This window comes from Homo sapiens, chromosome 10 (genome assembly GCF_000001405.40).
Source record: "Homo sapiens chromosome 10, GRCh38.p14 Primary Assembly".
Lineage (NCBI taxonomy): Eukaryota > Metazoa > Chordata > Mammalia > Primates > Hominidae > Homo > Homo sapiens.
In genome coordinates, this window is record NC_000010.11 from 12,756,442 (window position 1) to 12,774,541 (window position 18,100).

Here is an 18,100-nt window from a genome sequence, read left to right on the forward strand (position 1 = left end):
AGCAACTTCAAAATGATGTTATGTTTTTTGACAATTACTTCTTAATTTGAAAGAAATGGGATCATGTAAAATTTGGCAAACATACTGAAATTTTACTGAGATTATTATGTCAAACGATTTCATATTTGCATATTTAAAATTTGCACACAATACAATGGCATTATACTGTCTTAGGCAAGGAAGATTAGAGACTGAACAAACACAGCTGGGCACGGTGGCTCACACCTGTAATCCCAGCACTTTGGGAGGCCAAGGTGGGTGGATCACGAGGTCAGAAGATCGACACCATCCTGGCTAACACGGTGAAACCCCGTCTCTACTAAAAATACAAAAAAAATTAGCCGGGCGTGGTGGTGGCCACCTGTAGTCCCAGCTACTCGGGAGGCTAAGGCAGGAGAATGGCGTGAACCCAGGGAGCTTGCAGTGAGCCGAGATGATGCCACTGCACTCCAGCCTGGGCGACAGAGTGAGACTCCGTCTCAAAATAAAACAAAAGAACTGAACAAACCCAAGTTCAGTGCAGAGGCAGGCTGTTGTAAATAAACCTCAAAGTTGGAATTCAGAAGAGTAGAGAATTTTTGACTATCTCTTCTGTCTTCTGCTTCCTTAATCTTTGCCAGCCTGTTTACCTTTCCAGATCTGCATCCTAAGAAGCTGAGCCTCTCTCCTAATAGCTATTATGCCATTCATTCACTTTATTTTTTTTTGAGACAGGGTCTTGGTCCTTCACCCAGACTGGAGTGCAGTGGTGCGATCATAGCTCACTGCAGCCTCAGCCGTCCCGGCCTCCCAAAGTGCTGGGATTACAGATGTGCGCCACTGTGCCCGGCCTCATTTATTCATTTTAATTTATTGATATATTACTGTGATTGTACTCCTTTTCCCCAATCACTTGACCCCTGTCCCTTCTAACTTCATTCTGATGCTTTGCATGTTTTAATTGGGGAACTTCATTTCTGATGTGGAGCTTTCAAACATGCACACAGGAGGCTTGACATAGAAGCTGTCTGACTCAAAAAAAACCTCTCAGTCAGCTCAATAACCAAACAGCCAACCTAAGCATGGTCTGCAAGCCTGAAAATGAGACATGAAGTTGCCATGACGCCAAACTTATCTCCCCAGCAGTGATTCTGGGATAGTGTCTACCTCACAACTAGCTCTATGAATAAGTCAGTGCTGGCTGCCACAACAAAATACCATATAGATTGGGTTAAACAACAGAAATTGATTTTCTCACAGTTCTGGAGGCTGGACGTCTGAGATCAGGGTGCTAGTGTGGGAAGATTATAGTGAGGGCTCCATTCCTGCCTTGGAGGCAGCTGCCTTCTCCTTGTGTCCTCACATGGTAAAGAGAGAGTTCTGGTCTCCTTCTTCTTACAGGGACACTGATCCCAGCATGGGGGCCCTGCTCTTTTTTTTTTTTTTTTTTTTTTTGAGATGGAGTCTTGCTCCATTGCTGGAGTGCAATGGCATGATCTCGGCTCACCGCAATCTCTGCCTCCCCAGTTCAAGCAGTTCTCCTGCTTCAGCCTCCCAAGTAGCTGGGAGTACCGGCACCCGCCATCATGCCCAGCTAATTTTTGTATTTTTGTAGAGACTGGTTTTCACCATGTTGGCCAGGTTGGTCTTGAGCTCCTGACCTCAGGTGATCCGCCTCCTTGGCCTCCCAAAGTGCTGGGATTACAGGCATGAGCCACCACACCCGGCTGCATCCTCTTGACTTCATCTAAACCTAATCACCTCCCAAAGACCCCACCTCCAAACGCCATCATCACATTGGGAATTAAGTCTTCAGCTTATAAATTCTGGGGGACGTAAACATTCAGTCCATAACAGTACCATAGGTTTTTGAAATGCAGGCTTAAGGAGAATTTTGAAAAGTACAAAGAGATTTGCAGATTTAATATATTTTTATTAGTCATAAAAATATATGACAATATCATATTGTCATATTTCTTTATTGGCAAGATTCTAAACTTTCCCCTTGTGCCTCGGTTTCTAAGGAGACCAGATTCTTTCCAAGCAGTGTTCAGAAAAATAGAGCCCTGGTGCAGTTTGAAATGTAAGAAGCAGAATATTAAATGTGCAGAGCATTGAGACTCTGCAACAGTACATGCTATCCTTTGATGCTTCAGTTTTCACTGCATTGCTGCCCTATGGCACTGCTGTAAGACAGAAAATATTTTATGCAGATTTTTTCATTCAGTAGAATTCGTCCATACCTTATATATCACATAATGGGAAAAAAGAGGACCTTGACAGAATGGGAAGCAGGACAGGTAGGTTTTGAGGGACGCAGGTTGGCCAGGTTTGGATCATGGGGTCCTAAGGGCAGGAGGTGGTGGGAGCAGTGGAAGGGGTAAGCGTTCTTGCCAGAGGTCATCCAGCAGTTGCAGAGGAGAGGAGGCAGTAGCAGGCAGAACAGTGAGAAGCAAGCCCTGGAGACAGCAGTTAGGGAGGCTGCTACTGGAAGGGGGCCTATGTGGAAGGGCATAATCGTAACAGACGTTCCGCCTTCAGAGTGAAAGCTGCCTCGATTGCATCCCACTGGGCATGCTCACTGGCATGTAATGGGCACCCAGGAAATGTTGAGTGAGTAGTTGAATAAATAATTAAGTGAATGCAGGCCGGATGCAGTGGCTCACGCCTGTAATCCCAGCACTTTGGGAGGCTAAGGCGGGAGGATCTCTTCAGCCCAGGAGTTTGAGACCAGACTGGGCAACATGGTGAAACTCCGTCTCTACTAAAAATACAAAAATTAGCCGGGTGTGGTGGCACGTACCTGTGGTCCCAGCTACTCAGGAAGCTGATGTAGGGTGGGAGGATCGCTTAAGCCCTGTAGGTCAAGGCTGCAGAGAGCTGTGATCATGCCACTGCATTCCAGCTTGGGCTGCAGAATGAGACCCTGTCTCAGAAAAAATAAGAAGTGAATGTCTCTAGGGCACCCAGACTCACCTTGTCCCTAACAGCAGTCTACCTCTTCTGGTACATTCTCGAGCTCTGCAAAGTTTCAGATGTTGAAACTTGTTGGGGGAAGGTTCTTGAAAAATGATGAGAGGAGAGAAGTTGGTGTCAGGAGGAGTATCTTGGGCTCTTGGCTTACCTAAGCATGGATCATTGAGACAACACGGTCATCAAAATGTAGTTTCTCCCAGTCGTTTCCGTTTCTTTTCACTCTTGGAATTGCTTTTTTATTTCTCCTGAGCACCTTTTCTTTCTTACCTAGATTGTCAGTTTGCCTTGGAAATGAAACATTATCCAAGCACAATATTGCCTGCTATGACTATAGGTAATGGAAGAGACAAGCACATAGGCCTTTTACGGCTGCAGTGGTTGTTTGATTAGTTTTTTTAAAAGAAGGTTTCAGTGGATCAGTTATTGCGCATAAATTGTCGTGCCTTTTGGAAAATGAATCTTATCTTTGTGTGTTTGTGTATGAGTGTGTGTTACCGTAGGGCTTGTCTTTTGTTATATCTGTGAAAGCTTTAAGGGTTGTTTATTTAAGTTGCTTTTTGATTTTAGCATTTCAAATCTGTCTCATCTTGTTTTTGAAAAATGTTTCTTTCTTTTTTTTCAGTAGTGTTAATAAATCCCTTGAAATTTATTTCCAAGATGGCTTAATGATTTGAGATGATTTGGAGAACACTAGTTGAGTTGTTTGTATTCTGGCTTGTACACTTCCATTATTTTGTTGAACTCAGGGCAGCATAAAATATCAGAGCTGAAAGGTGCCAGAGAGGTTGCCCCCACAGGGCTTCTTGACCCTTGCCAACCTAGTCCCATTTTGAAAAATGTTTAAAAATGTTAAATGCAATCTGAAATGCAAAGCTAATAAAAAGGATACAGCATCACTAAAACCAAAGCAAAGTAATGAAATATAGTCTTGATTTCTTGCCTGCTTTTTCATAAATCACAAGTGGCTTTGAGGTTCTGATCATTCCGAAGGCATGCTCCCACCCACTGTTGAAATGGGTGACTAGATTCATCCCCTAATTTTACACATAAAAACATCAAGGTCCAGGGATTCAGGCGGTGTTCGTATCCCAGTATATTAGGAGCAGAACTTGGTCAAAAACCCACACATCCCGTTGGCAGGCCAGCGTTTTGCCCACAACACTCTCGGTCATTTAAGGATACTGTCTCATGCAAAGGAGACATTTTATTCAGGGTCATCTTCCTGTATCCGAGGACGCTGGTATTCAGGAAGGGTTTTTTTAAACTTTACATCATCACAGCAGAACAGAGGCAGAGGCCTGGACAGAACCCAGGTGTGGCTGGTCCGTGGATCGTGTTTTTTTAAATTTCCTTTACTTGGTTCCAGACATTTGCTCTGCTGTGACATGGAAACATTTCCTGGCTATAGCCTCTGAGGAATAGGGGGGCAACATCTCAATCTGAAGATGGATTCATTTTTGCAATAAAGTTTGGGATTTTTTTCACATTGGAAGCTTTCCCTTCACAATTCAACAGATCCTTTCAAACTTCTAATATGTTCTTTTTTGCCAGGGTGTCCGGTGGAGAGCTGTTTGACCGGATAGTGGAGAAGGGGTTTTATACAGAGAAGGATGCCAGCACTCTGATCCGCCAAGTCTTGGACGCCGTGTACTATCTCCACAGAATGGGCATCGTCCACAGAGACCTCAAGGTGAGGCCATCGCTCAGCAGCATCCTGCAGCCACTCTGCAGCCCGCAATGCACGCGACCAAGAGGGCTGATGCCAGTGGGGGCATGCAGCTGCTCTGATGTAGAGTGGGTGCAGCAGATGGTGGGCATTTGTGTACTTTGAGTTGTCAGGGCCTTTGGGATCCAGACCCAGAAGTATCTTGGAAGAAGATGAAGATTCACATGGCTGGCCACTGTTCATGAGATTTTTACAACCATTATGTAGCCAAAGGGTTACAGGGAGGTGGGTTATATATTGCTTCGAGCCTATCTAAGAGACGATTTTGCTCAAGACACGTAGGCTACAGAAACCCTCCTCCCGGTGCAGTTCCGCAGCACCTTTGCCAATTCCAGCCCCATTGCAGCACAACACACTGTATAAAAGAAAGAGAGCAGTGGTCAGACATCATGAGAGGAAAGTGAAGGGAAACAGAAGGTAAGCAGATATAGAAGAGGGAGAAGAGAAATAGAAGGGAAAAAGACAGGTTAAAAGAGCTATGACTGGCTGGGCGTGGTGGCTCAGGCCTGTAATCCCAGCACTTTGGGAGGCCGAGGAAGGCAGATCATGAGGTTAAGAAATCAAGACCATCCTGGCCAACACGGTGAAACCCCATCTCTACAAAAATACAAAAATTAGCTGGGTGTGGTGGCGCGTGCCTGTAGTCCCAGCTACACAGGAAGCCGAGGCAGGAGAATCGTTTGAACCCAGGAGGCGAAGGTTGCAGTGAGCCGAGATCGCACCACTGCAGTCCAGCCTGGCAACAGAGCGAAACTCCGTCTCAAAAAAAATAAATAAATAAAAATAGTGTCTTGCAGGTTCTTTTCTTACAGTTTCCTAATGAGGTTTTGGTATATTGACCCTTTCCCCGTTGGCACAGAAGGATCTGGGCCTTATATTGGCATATATGCCCCTCCCCAGCAGGTCTATGTAGACACTGAAGGACAGATGTCAAACACAATAGTACTGAAGGGTGGATGTCACACATATGGTACCAAAGGTAGGTATCAGACATATCAACTTGAGAAACAGTAGAAAGCAGTGCGGTTGACCCAAAGCTGCAATGTGACCTCATTCTAGGATGTTTACAGGTCCAGCCCCCAGAGCTTACTGCACCAGTCAAGACAAAAATTCCACCCCAGCACACATACCCACCACTCATTATAAACACGAGGATCATATCATCTTGAAGCTGTGCTGTACACAACTGTGGGAAATCAAAATCAATTTAAAGAACCAGTCATAAACATTTGTATAAACAGAGTTTCCACACCTGGCTATTACCTGCTACTGGGTATTAAGGAATAAAGTGGTGTAGCTTTTTCTTTCATAAAGACTCACTACCATGGTTTTTCTGCATGTTGTCATGTTCCATTGACCCAGGCAGTGATTCCCGAATGTTCGCCCATATCAGAATTGTCTGGAGGGCTATGAAAATAGAGACTGCTGCCCCATCCCCAGTGGTCTGATTCTGTAGGTCTCCGGTGGGGGCTGAAAACTTGCATTTCTAACAGGTCTGCCCGTGATGAGGATGCTGGTCTGGGAACTGCTCTTGGAAAACCACTGGGCGAGGATATTTGGGAATCTTAGTGGATCCCTTTGAGCCTTCATCCTCTGCAGGCTTCTTGACATCTGAAATGGCTGTGGGCGTGGTCAGCTCATGTTCGGGGCCTGGAGATACTTCAGAGGGCTAGGTAGGGGCTAGCTCAGCCGACCTGGCACCTCTGCCAGGCCTCCGGGCCTTCTCTGCTCTCTTGTGCCCCCACAAATGCCAGTTCTGTGCTTCCAGAACACATAGGCAGCTCTCTCTGAACACGTTCGTGTGGTGACCACAGGGATGCACTGTGATGGGCTAGCTGTCTGTACTTATTAGAAAAATAATTTCTAAGCAAATAAGGCATATCCAGGAGGGGCAGTGTTTATCTCTCCCTTGGAAAGGCTGATTGGCTGTATGGGAGATAATGTTTTTAATTAACCTACGTAATGCTTTTGGAGGAATCTTTGCAGCTTCCATCCTGTGGAGCCTTAAGATCACCGGGCCTGTCGTTACGTAAAGAACACTGCCATTTTAGGACCTTTCTGTGATCTCTTTTCAGAGGCACAAAGGAGTTTGATCTATGAGGAGGAAGTTGAAATTGGACTACTAAATTTGCGTAAACAGCTAAGAAAATTAAAGTTAAAACAACCTATATAACCAAGCCCAGAGCAATAGAGAGAGGATGATCGTGTTAATTTAAGCTTAGTGCAGCAATCGGAATACTGCCCCAGCCTACCTGCAAATGTACCTCCTTCTCTTCGTAGAAAGCTATGCGATGTCTTGTTGCCCTGAGAAGCTATTAGAGACAGTTGCTCTTTTTGCAAAATGAAGTGACTGAGACTGGAAGTGCCTGGTCCTGCCTCAGTGGATTAGGATTGGGTTTCTCAGCCCCTGCACCATTGGCATTCAGCCCTGGGCACTGTGGGATTTAGAGCAGCATCCTTGGCTTCTGCCCATGGATACGAGTACTACGTCTGGAATTGTTAACAGCTACAAATGTCCCTAGGCATTGCCAGATATCCATCCGCTGGGGGGCAAAATTGCCCCTAGTTGAGAATCACTGGAGTAGGAATGTGATTATGGATAACATTAACGTTACCAGAAGTGTGTTGATTCCGATCTTATTAAAGCTTATTATGTGGATTATTATAAAGTGTTGGGGTTGATATTCCAACTCAGGTATTGGCCACCAGTTGTCTTGCAAAGATGCCATAATATGCCGAAAACTTAATTTTTCCAGTGAGTCCCGGACCTCTTTGGACACCAGGAGGAATTGTGATGCAATGTGGGCCAGACCCTCTCCCTGTGGCCCCCACCCCCACAGCCCTCCTGTTGGGATCGGGGATGGGGCCTCCCACCCAGATGATACCTGAGCCTGCCTCTCCCCCACCGTCTTCCCTCCTCCCCCAGGAAAAGCCCTGCTGTCCTTACAAGTCTTGGGCCAATTAAAAGTATTGATTGGCTGGGCGCGGAGGCTCACGCCTGTAATCCCAGCACTTTGGGAGGCGGAGGCGGGTGGATTGCGTGAGGTCAGGAGTTCGAGACCAGCCTGACCAACATGGTGAAACCCCATCTCTACTAAAAATACAAAAATTAGCCAGGTGTGGTGGCAGGTGCCTGTAATCCCAGCTACTCAGGAGGCTGAGGCAGGAGAATCGCTTTAACTGGGGAGGCAGAGGTTGCAGTGAGCCGAGATCGCACCATTGCACTCCAGTCTGGGCAACAAGAATGACACTTTGTCTCAAAAAAAAAAAAAAAAACATTGATCTAAACTGTGAATGACCAGTTGATTTAACCCTCCTTGGGCGTAACTGGTCTTCAAAACAGCATTTTATTGACCCAGATGAATCTTTTCTAGGAGGGATGTGCGATGCTCTGAGCCCTTTGGCCACCCCTTGCCAGGATTATGCCTTGTTTAGCAGTGTGAAATCACTTACTCTCCTCTCCTTATCACCTCCTGGGACAAGGAAGATAAAAAATCAGAAACAACAGCATTGTCCTCTCTCTGCACCCATGATTGGATCCTTATTGTTTAGTGAAGGATAATCCCTAAACTTCCAGAGAAAACATGAACCATGTGGTCTTTATGATTCGAGCATTCCCGCCCCTTTTCTAAGCTTGACAGCATTCTTGTTTCAACTGATTGGCGACTTTACTTTCTTTTAAAACTCATTGGGGCCAGTGCGGTGGCTCATGCCTGTAATCCCAGCACATTGGGAGGCTGAGGTAGATAGATCGCCTGAGGTCAGGAGTTTGAGACCAGCCTGGCGAACATGATGAAGCCTTGTCTCTACTAAAAATACAAAAGTAGCCGTGTGTGGTGGCACATGCCTGTAATCCCAGCTACTCCGGAGGCTGAGGCAGGAGAATTCCTTGAACCCAAGAGGCGGAGGTTGCAGTGAGCTGAGATTGTGCTACTATACTCTAGCCTGGGTGACAGAGAGAGACTCCATCTCAAAAAAAAACCTCATTGGAAGCATCCTTCAGTGCACAGTTGATTTTCTTCTAATCTCCTGCTTCATCCACAAAATTAATGTCACAGTGACTCTTAACTGCCATCCCTTTCTGTGTTGTTACTTGAGGTGAAGGATAGTATTTATTCTTTAGTTTCTATTAAAGAACAGAATTATTTTGACACCACTTGACATGGTAAGGAAGGCTTTATTCAAGACCATTGCAATGCCATTGAGCTCAACTTGGAATACAGCTAGACGAGTAGGGATTTATAGCCAAAGAAGAGAGGGGAGGGGGTAGTGGATGGGAAATTAGGGGGATTTTTGCTAACCTGACCTGGCAGGATTCCTGCTAAAGGCAGGCTAAGGACTTAGACATTGACAAAGGCCCCTTTGAGTCCTCTTTCTGATTAGACCCTGCTCTCTGGCTGTCCAGTAGGTCCAGTTTTTAGCAAGAATCCTGCTGAATCAGTTGAGCTGAAATCTTCCACCCGCGTGATCTCATCAGATCCCTAATGCCTTTGAAGTGGCCTCATTGTCTGGGGTGATACCCGAGATTCATTGTCTCACGCCAAGGAAATCAAGGATGCAGACACACAAGGAGTGAGCTTCAGAGCGGACATTTAGTAGGTGAAAGAAAGAGAAGAGCTCTCTCCTGTAGAGAGAGGGGTCCCAAGCGGGTTTCCGGTCTGTGGTGAAATGCAGGGGGGTTTTATAGCTGAGCTTGAGGAGGTGGTGTCTGACTTACATAAGGCACAAAAGATTGGTTGGACCAGGTGTGCCATTTGTATAGGACACAAAAAACTAGTTAGGGCTAGGTGTGCCATTTCCATAGGGCATGAAAAGCTGGCTGCCCCCATCCTAATCTTTTTTTTTTTTTTTTTTTTTTTTGAGACAGAGTTTCGCTCTTGTTGCCCAGACTGGAGTGCAATGGCGCAATCTCAACTCTCTGCAACCTCTGCCTCCCAGGTTCAAGTGATTCTCCTGCCTCAGCCTCCCTAGTAGCTGGGATTACGGGCATGTGCCACCACGCCCGGCTAGTTTTGTATTTTTAGTAGAGACAGGGTTTCTCCATGTTGGTCAGGCTTGTCTCAAACTCCTGACCTCAGGTGATCCGCCTGCCTCAGCCTCCCAAAGTCCAAAGTGCTGGGATTACAGGTGTGAGCCCCCCCTCCTCCCCCAGCCCTGGCCCCGTGCCCTGCCATCCCCACCCTAATCTTTTATGATGCAGATGGGTTCTCTGCCTGGCCAGCCCCACGTTGCCTGTTTCTTTTTTTTTTTTTTTTTTTGAGACGGAGTGTTGCCTCTGTCCCCAGGTTGGAGTGCAGTGGCGTACACGTGGCTGACAAAGAAAAGGGAGATGGAGCCTCCATATTGGACATGCCTGACCCCCAGGTGGCCCTTTTCTGTTGGCACAGCTGCTGGCATTCACCAGTGAAAGCTTCCAGCTTGCTTATTTATGTTTGCAGCTTGATTTTTCAGGCTGTTCTTTGTTAGAAAAAAAAATAATAATTTATTGGGCTGCTTTTTGTTAGAAGGGAAGCCTTGCCGAGGACTCTTTTACCCTCACTATCTGCAAAATAATTTCTTTCTAGCTCCTGTATCACCCCAATCTCAATGCCGAATTACCTTGGCCTGGCTTCAGCAGGAGTCCTGTCAGTGGGGGTGGGGTGGGTGAAGAACTTGATCAGATACCCGTGGTGGGGGGATTCTCCAACGTAGCAGACCGGCTAAGACAGGGCTGCGCAGGCCTGGCAGGGGTGGGATAGACAAGGCCAAGGTCAAGGCCTAGGAGAGCAGGGGAGTCAGAGGAACCTGCCTCAAGTTTGGTCAAGGAGGGAGTCTTGGTGAGTTCTGAAAATTTCTTCACTGCGATGTTGACACATCAGAATGCTGCTTGTGGAGCTCTGAAATCCAGAGCCCTGGGCCCCATCTCAGACCCGCTGAAGGGCAAGATCTCTGGCCAGTGAATACCCTCACAGGTGCCTCTGCTGCACAACAGGCCGAGGACCACTTTTCTAAACAAGTCTGCTCACTCTTGTGAACCCAAAAATACCTGAGACAGGTCTCAGTCAATTTATTTTTATTTTTTTATTTGTTTTTGAGACAGAGTTTCACTCTTTTTGCCCAGGCTGGAGTGCAGTGGCGCACTATCGGCTCACTGCAACCTGCGCCTCCCAGGTTCAAGTGATTCTCCTGCCTCAGCCTCCTGAGTAGCTGGGATTACAGGCGCCCGCCACCATGCCTGGGTAATTTTGTATTTTTAGTAGAGACGGGGTTTCTCCATGTTGGTCAGGCTGGTCTTGAACTCCTAACCTCAGGTGATCCCCTCTCCTCAGTCTCCCAAAGTGCTGGGATTACAGGCATGAGCCACTGCGCCTAACCAGGTCTCAGTCAATTTAGAAAGTTTATTTTGCCAAGGTCAAGAATGTGCCCATGACACAGCCTCAAGAGATCCTGATGACATGTGCCCAAGGTGGTCAGGGCACAGCTTGGTTTTATACGTTGTAGGGAGACATGAGACATCAATCAGTATGTGTAAGATGTACATTGGCTAGGTATGAAAAGGCGGCACAACTCAAAGCAGAGGCTTCCAGGTCTTAGGTAGATAAGAGACAAAGAGTTGCTTTCTTTTGAGTCTCTGATCAGTTCTTCACTGAATACACACTTTACAGGAATAGTCACTCACGCTTTAGTCTGGCTCAGTGAAACAATAAGGCAGAGGAAGCAATCAGGTATGTATTTGTCTCCCGTGAGCAGAGGGAGGACTTTGAGTTAGTTAGTTAGTTAGTTATTTTGAGACGGAGTTTCACTCTTGTCATCCAGGCTGGAGTGCAATGGCGCGATCTTGGCTCACTGCAACCTCCGCCTCCTGGGTTCAAGCAATTCTCCTGCCTCAGCCTCCCAAGTAGCTGGGATTACAGGCATGTGCCACCACGCCCGGCTAATTTTTGTATTTTTAGTAGAGACGGGGTTTCGCCATGTTGATCAGGCTGGTCTTGGACTCCTGACCTCAGGTGATCCACCTGCCTTGGCCTCCAAAAGTGCTGGGATTACAGGTGTAAACCACCGTGCCTGGCCAGAGTTTGAGTTTGTCTGTCTTTTGCCCACAAGGAATTTCCTTACTGGCGAATCATGAGGGAGGAATGTGGCTTTTTTATCTTTGTAGCTATGTTATTTAGGAGTAAAATGGGAGGCAGGATTGCGTAGTTCCCAGCTTGACTTTTCCCTCCGGCTTAGTGATTTTGGGGTCCTGAGATTTATTTTCCTTTCACACTCTACATAAGAATAGTTTCTAAAGTCTGAAACCCAAGGTTCACCACAAACCCCTGAGGAGAGAGAATGTGGCTGTCCCCGCTGGGGCGGGGGAGGAGAGCTGGATGGGAAATGCTGTGGGAAAGTGCCTTTCCCATGTCAGATTCTTCGTGCTGCGCTCCCTTTAAGGTTTGGTGTAAATGACAGAAACGATTCCTCATTCACTGGGTGAGGATTATCCTGGAGGGTGGACATTCCTGGACAACAGCAGAGATGACAGTCCTTGACATCGTCTCCCCCCGTGATAAATCGTCACCATGATGATGAATCCAGGAGTCATCAAGTCCAGCAGCTCTTCAGAAAAAAAAAAAAAATGCAGGCTCCTCTTTGTGTTCAAGGCCCACGCAGCAGTGCAAGGACAAGTCCAAGGCTGTAGCTTCTCAGCCTCCATAAGACCCACCCCTGCTTCCTTGCTAGGAACAATGAGATTCCCCAATTCTACATAAAACACGATGCAAATGATACTTCACTGGTTCCCATGCCAACCCCAGGACTGCTACTCTCAGCCCCTCCTGTATGTTGCAGAACTGTAGTGAAGACAGGAACACGGGGGCCATAAGAAATGGAAGAAGGCCTTTGCTGTGCATTCCTGCTGCCCAAGCACTGTTCAGAGGAACAGACAAAGGATGAAATCAACCCATGCTTCACAGAAAGGCAAACAGAAGTGCGGACCCCTTAAGGGTACATGGCTGGAAGTGCTGCGTCTTCCAATTCCAGATTCATTTATTCCGGGATGGCATCCCTCTGCTTTCCTGGCAGGGGAGCGAGCACGGGTCAGCTGGCCTTCATGAAGGGTGCAGTGCAGCACATCTCCCAGAACTGCAGGGCAGCAGGGCGTGTTGCTGAGGGCAGAAACAGAGACCCTTGGATTCAAGAAAAATCACTCATAAAAAGGAGCAGAGAAGCACCTGCAAGAGTTACTTCATTTCCTGGAATCTCCCTTCCCTAACCCCAGACGTAAATCCACAAGTCTGCAAAGCAATCGGCTTTCTAGATTGCCTCAGAATATGGTGAGTTTTTTAAAGTAGACAAAATATTAGTAAAGGAAAGAGACTAACGTTGATTGAAAGCCTGTGTGTGCCAGACACACTGTGCCGGGCGCTCTGCACTGTTTCTATTGGCCGCCGCTTTAGTTGATGCATCTACTGTGTCCAAAGGTCAAGGACGTCCTGACGTTGTGAATAGGTTTTGCAGCTGAATGAGTCTTCCACAATTAACCCAGCTTTACACGTAGTTTGTAATGTTTTTTTCTTATTTTCTTTCTAGCCCGAAAATCTCTTGTACTACAGTCAAGATGAGGAGTCCAAAATAATGATCAGTGACTTTGGATTGTCAAAAATGGAGGGCAAAGGAGATGTGATGTCCACTGCCTGTGGAACTCCAGGCTATGTCGGTAAGGACAGTGCATGTGCACACATGTGCCCGTGTGTGTGTGATGTCCTCATGTGTGGTGTCACCACGTGTCAACTCATCAGTTGTGTGAAACATATGAGCTTGGCATGTAATCACAGCTGCCTTCACTTCCCCTGGGGGAAAGAATAAAAAGATTGAGGGACACTGGAATGAATAATTCATAGCAGGGAAGTGATTTCCCCTGAAAACTTTTGCACAGTTGGGTAGAAATCCCATTTGATTTGGTTGTGGGCCTGACTGGAGGCTGGGAGTTAATTTGGATGAATCCCAGGTTCCATTTCCAGAGATACTGCATACATCTGTTTCTGAGGGATTTACAATGAGACACTGAGATAACAGTAAGGTGCACACACAAGAAAACTTTTTATTCCAATTACTGAGATAGGAACATTGATGGAGGAACCTGGTTCAGACCTTGACCAAGTCACTCTCATCAATCAGTTAACCCTGATCTGTACTGCGATGCTAGGCATTCAAGTTTTTCCTTAAATCACAACCCCCAATTCTTTGTACTAAACATCCAAAATGCAGAGGAAACTACTGACGGATCTGAACACTTGGATTCTGATGTTCATCTTTTGACTTCCGGGGTCCTGGAGAAACACCATTAGAATACTTGTGATTGTTCTGAGACCTTCATTGACATCAGCGTATTCATGCATTCCTTCATTCATTCAGCAAATGTATGTAAAGTTGCTACTATGTACCTGATGCTGTACCAGGCACTGGGGTTAAGGCAGTGAATGACACAGACACGGTGCCTGCCCTCATGGAGCTTACATTTTAGTTGGAACAAGTAAGCAAACAGGGTCATTTCAGATCTTGAGTACTATGAAGAAACTAAACCTGGGGGCCTGCCATGGAGTGACAAGGAATCAGGACTGGGCTGAGAGGACAGGGAGGAGACTTGGGCCTTGGTCTCAGTGGCAAGAAGAAGCCAGCCATGTGGGAGTTACAGGACAGCATCCCAGGAAGAGTAACCAGTTTGTGCGAAAGCCTGAAGGCTGGGAGAGGGTACGAGCTAGGGATGTCTGAGAGCAAGAAAAAAGATGAGGTTGGAAAAGAGTTATGGAAAATGAAGTCTGAGTCTGAATTCTTTCTTTTTTGTGGGGGGTGGGGGGTGTGGTAGGGTACTGAATCTAGCTGTGTTGCAAGGTTGGAGTGCAGTGGCGCAATCCCGACTCACTGCAACCTCCGCTTCCTGGATTCAAGTGGTTCTCCTGCCTCAGCCTCCCGAGTACCTGGGATTACAGGCGCCTGCCACCATGTCAGGCTAATTTTTGTATTTTTAGTAGAGACAGGGTTTTGTCATGTTGGCCAGGCTGGTCTCAAACTCCTGACCTCAGGTGATCCGCCCACCTCAGCCTCCCAAAGTGCCAGGATTACAGGCATGAGCCGCCGCGCCTGAGTGAGGCTAAGTTCTTGTCATGCGAAGTGCGGTGACCTTTCTTCATGAGAATAGCCATTGAGCCCACCTGAGAGAGGAGGTATGTTATGTGACCAGCATCACCCTGTGGGTCTTTGGGGACATCCACAGAACCTTCCCAGGCAGGCTGAGGAGAGCCGGCCTCAAACTAAAGGAGATACAAGGGGTATTGTGGGAAACTCCAGATGACCTTGGGGCCACTTTGTGGCCTTTCAGGTCCTTGCATATAATTACAGAGCCATGTCAAGCTCAAGTGTCATAGCTGTTCATTTTCAGAGTAACTCAGAGGAGGAAAGACAAGAGCAGGCTGAGGCGGGCAGAGAACAAAATAAGGGGAAGGGAAAGAAGCAGCAGGGTTTAGAAGCGGGGAGATGCAGGGGTGGAAACGTGGCTGGGGAGGAGCTGTGTGGACACCATCGCAGGGGGGCTCAATTCCCTGGATCGTGTGTATGCAGAAGGCACAGAAGAAGAGGTTGCTCTGCTCATTTTTGAAAGGTCCAGTGCATGGCCAGGTGCAGTGGCTCACGCCTGTAATCCCAGCACTTTGAGAGGCCAAGGTGGTTGGGTCAGTTGAGTCCAGGAATTCAAGATCAGCCTGGCCAACATGGCAAAACCCCATCTCTACTAAAAATACAAAAATTAGCCAGGCATGGTGGCTCACACCTGTAGTCCCAGCTACTTGGGAGGCTGAGGCAGGAGAATCGCTTGAACCTGGGGGGCGGAAGTTGCAGTGGGCTGAGATTGCGCCACTGCACTCCAGCCTGGGTGACAAAGCGAGATGCTATCTCAGGAAAAAAAAAAAAAGCCAGTATAGGCTTTGATAGAAATCAACAACATAGTAGTCGATCATCTCTTCTAAGATAGCGTGATAACGGTTGCAGGAATAGCATGGTCCCTGCCTGGGGGACATGTGCCTGGGGTGGTGACGGGAGGAAAGAGTGTGTGTGGTATATTCATGGAATTTCTCCAGCTCGATCTGAGCCATCAGGGAAGCCGTGAATACATGAGACGAGACAAGCTGAGTGGGGAGAGCCTGTTCCAACTATCGGGAATCCCAGACATTAGAAAATGAAAAGGTCTGTTAGGTCATGATGCTGGTTCTCTTTTCAGCAGTCTCCCCAGGCTGAGAAGGTGCTGATACTGTGGCCTGCCCATCTCTTCCCTTCAGGAAGTTGACCCTTGGGCTGTGATTTAAATGCTCTGACAACCAGTGACGGCCCCTAGCTACGTACGCATCACGTGCTTCTCATGTTTGGCTGGAAAGCTCCAGCACTTTCTAAATTGAGTTTTACTGCTCTGTGTTTTGGCAAAGCCCACGGAATGGCAGTTTTTCTGGTTTCTAAGTGGCTGCCATCTGCGGGGTCTGAGTCTGTTGATTGCTGTGTCTGGCACTGACGTGTCGGGAATGGTGTTGAGAAGAGTCCATCGCTCTTGCTACTCTAAATGGCAGCCAGTGGGAGCCATTGGGTAATGGTGTTGTGAGATACCAGGTTGTCCTGGAGGAGGCTGGGGGAGAGGAGGACTGTAGCAGTGGCGTTCTTCTATTGGTTTGTGTTGACTGAGCGCTGAAACTCCACCAAGAGTGCCCCTCTGGAGTGAGTCGTGTGGAGGGGACACAACTTCAGAGTAGGGAAGGGGCTGCTTTGAAGAGCTTGTATCTAGAGGACATCCCTTAGGCAGTTAGCAGCTGAGCTTGGGCTGTTTCCTCCCTTGCAGTCTGCATGGCAAGCTCCTATTCAGCCACCAAAGCCCAATTTAAATGTTACCTCCTTTGACTGCTTTCCTGTCACCTTGTCCTCTCCTTTGACATCCTGGTTCTTTCTATGACGCTTTCCTTGTCATGGTGTGATCACATTGCATTAGGGTTCGTATCAATCTGTGTCTCTCACTGCACTGTGAGTCTCATGAAATCTTTGTGCAGACACTTACTGAATTTAGTAAAAACACACAGATCATGAATCTTAGCCATGTTTTCTTTCTCTCTTCCCCTTCCATTCACTCAGCATGCATTTATTGAGTTCCTGCTGTGTACTCTGTGCAGTCGTCCCATGGTATCCACAGGGGCTGGGTTCCAAGATACTTCACCCTCTGCAGATACTAGCATCCTCAGATGGTCGAGTTCCTGGTATGAAATGGCATAGTATTTGCATATAACCTAGGCGTGGCCTCTGTGTACTGTCCTTGCTAGATTGCTTACAATACCTGATGCAATGTAAATGCTGTGGAAATAGTTGTCATAGGTATTGTTTTTATTTGTATTATTTGTATTGTTTTTTCAAATATTTTTGATCTGTGGATCCGCATATTTTGAATCCATGGATACAAGGGCCAAGTGTACAATGTTTGGTTTGAGAATACAAATATGGGCCGGGGGCGGTGGCTCATGCCTGTAATCCCAGCTCCTTGGGAGGCAGAGGCAGGCAGATTACCTGCGGTCAGGAGTTCCAGACCAGCCTGGCCAATATGGTGAAACCCTGTCTCTACTAAAAATACAAAAAATTAGCCAGGCAAGGTGGCAGGCGCCTGTAATCCCAGCCTCCCTACTCAGGAGGCTGAGGCAGGAGAATCACTTAAACCTGGGAGACAGAGGTTGCAGTGAGCTGAGATTGCGCCACTGCACTCCAGCCTGGGCAATAGAGTGAGACTCATCTCAAAAACAAAAAAATGAGAGAATACAAATGTGAATAAGGTACAAATTCTGACCTCAGTATTATGAGAGAGAAAGCAAACAGGTCAGCTTAATGTATGCTAAGGGCTACATCATTCAGCCCTTGAAGAATTATTTATTTATTGCCTACCTTCTGTTCTGGGCACTGGTGCGGGGGGAGGGGGGCGGGTACATCAATAGAAATAGAAGAATAAAACATAAAAATCCCCTCCCTAGTGGCACTTACATCTGAGTGAGAGAGACATAGGCTATAAAGCAAATATTGATAGCTAAGTTCATTCGTGTGTTAGGTGGCCTTAAGTACTATGGAGAAAAATGAAGCAGAAAAGATGATAAGAAGTTTGTGTGTTCAGAGGGTGGTGGCAATTTTAACTACAGTGTGCAGGCAGCCCTCACTAAGAGGGTGGCCGTGGTAAAGATTTGATAGGAGCGAGAGAACCGACCATGCAGGTATCTGGAGGGCATTCCAGGCCCAGTGCAGAGGCCTGAAGGCAGGAGAATGTGGGCAAGCAGCAGGGAGCAGGGGAAGCAGGAAGGAGAGGAATAGGAGAGACAGTCGGAGAAGTCCTGAGCAGGGGTATGTGGACCAGGACTTGGAAATCGTCGTATAGACTTTAGCTTCTACTCG

At 47.1% G+C, this 18,100-nt stretch overlaps 1 protein-coding gene across 10 annotated transcripts in view, besides 1 other annotated feature; it reads left to right on the forward strand.

Annotated features, from left to right (window-relative positions):
* Positions 1 to 18,100, forward strand: part of CAMK1D (calcium/calmodulin dependent protein kinase ID) — a 485,999-nt gene that overhangs the window by 406,895 nt on the left and 61,004 nt on the right. For all 10 annotated transcript variants that reach the window (XM_006717483.5, NM_153498.4, XM_006717482.4 and 7 more), the window contains 2 exons: positions 4,507 to 4,645; positions 13,232 to 13,358. In XM_006717483.5, coding sequence (XP_006717546.1) covers positions 4,507 to 4,645; positions 13,232 to 13,358 — 266 coding nt within the window. The remainder of the gene's footprint in view (positions 1 to 4,506; positions 4,646 to 13,231; positions 13,359 to 18,100) is intronic.
* Positions 9,866 to 10,366: an enhancer, noted in NCBI's record as "H3K27ac hESC enhancer chr10:12808306-12808806 (GRCh37/hg19 assembly coordinates)". NCBI's record gives its function as "activates a minimal SCP1, AML or CMV promoter by ChIP-STARR-seq in primed H9 embryonic stem cells {active_cell/tissue: H9 hESC(primed)}" and the evidence as "EXISTENCE:reporter gene assay evidence [ECO:0000049][PMID:30033119]".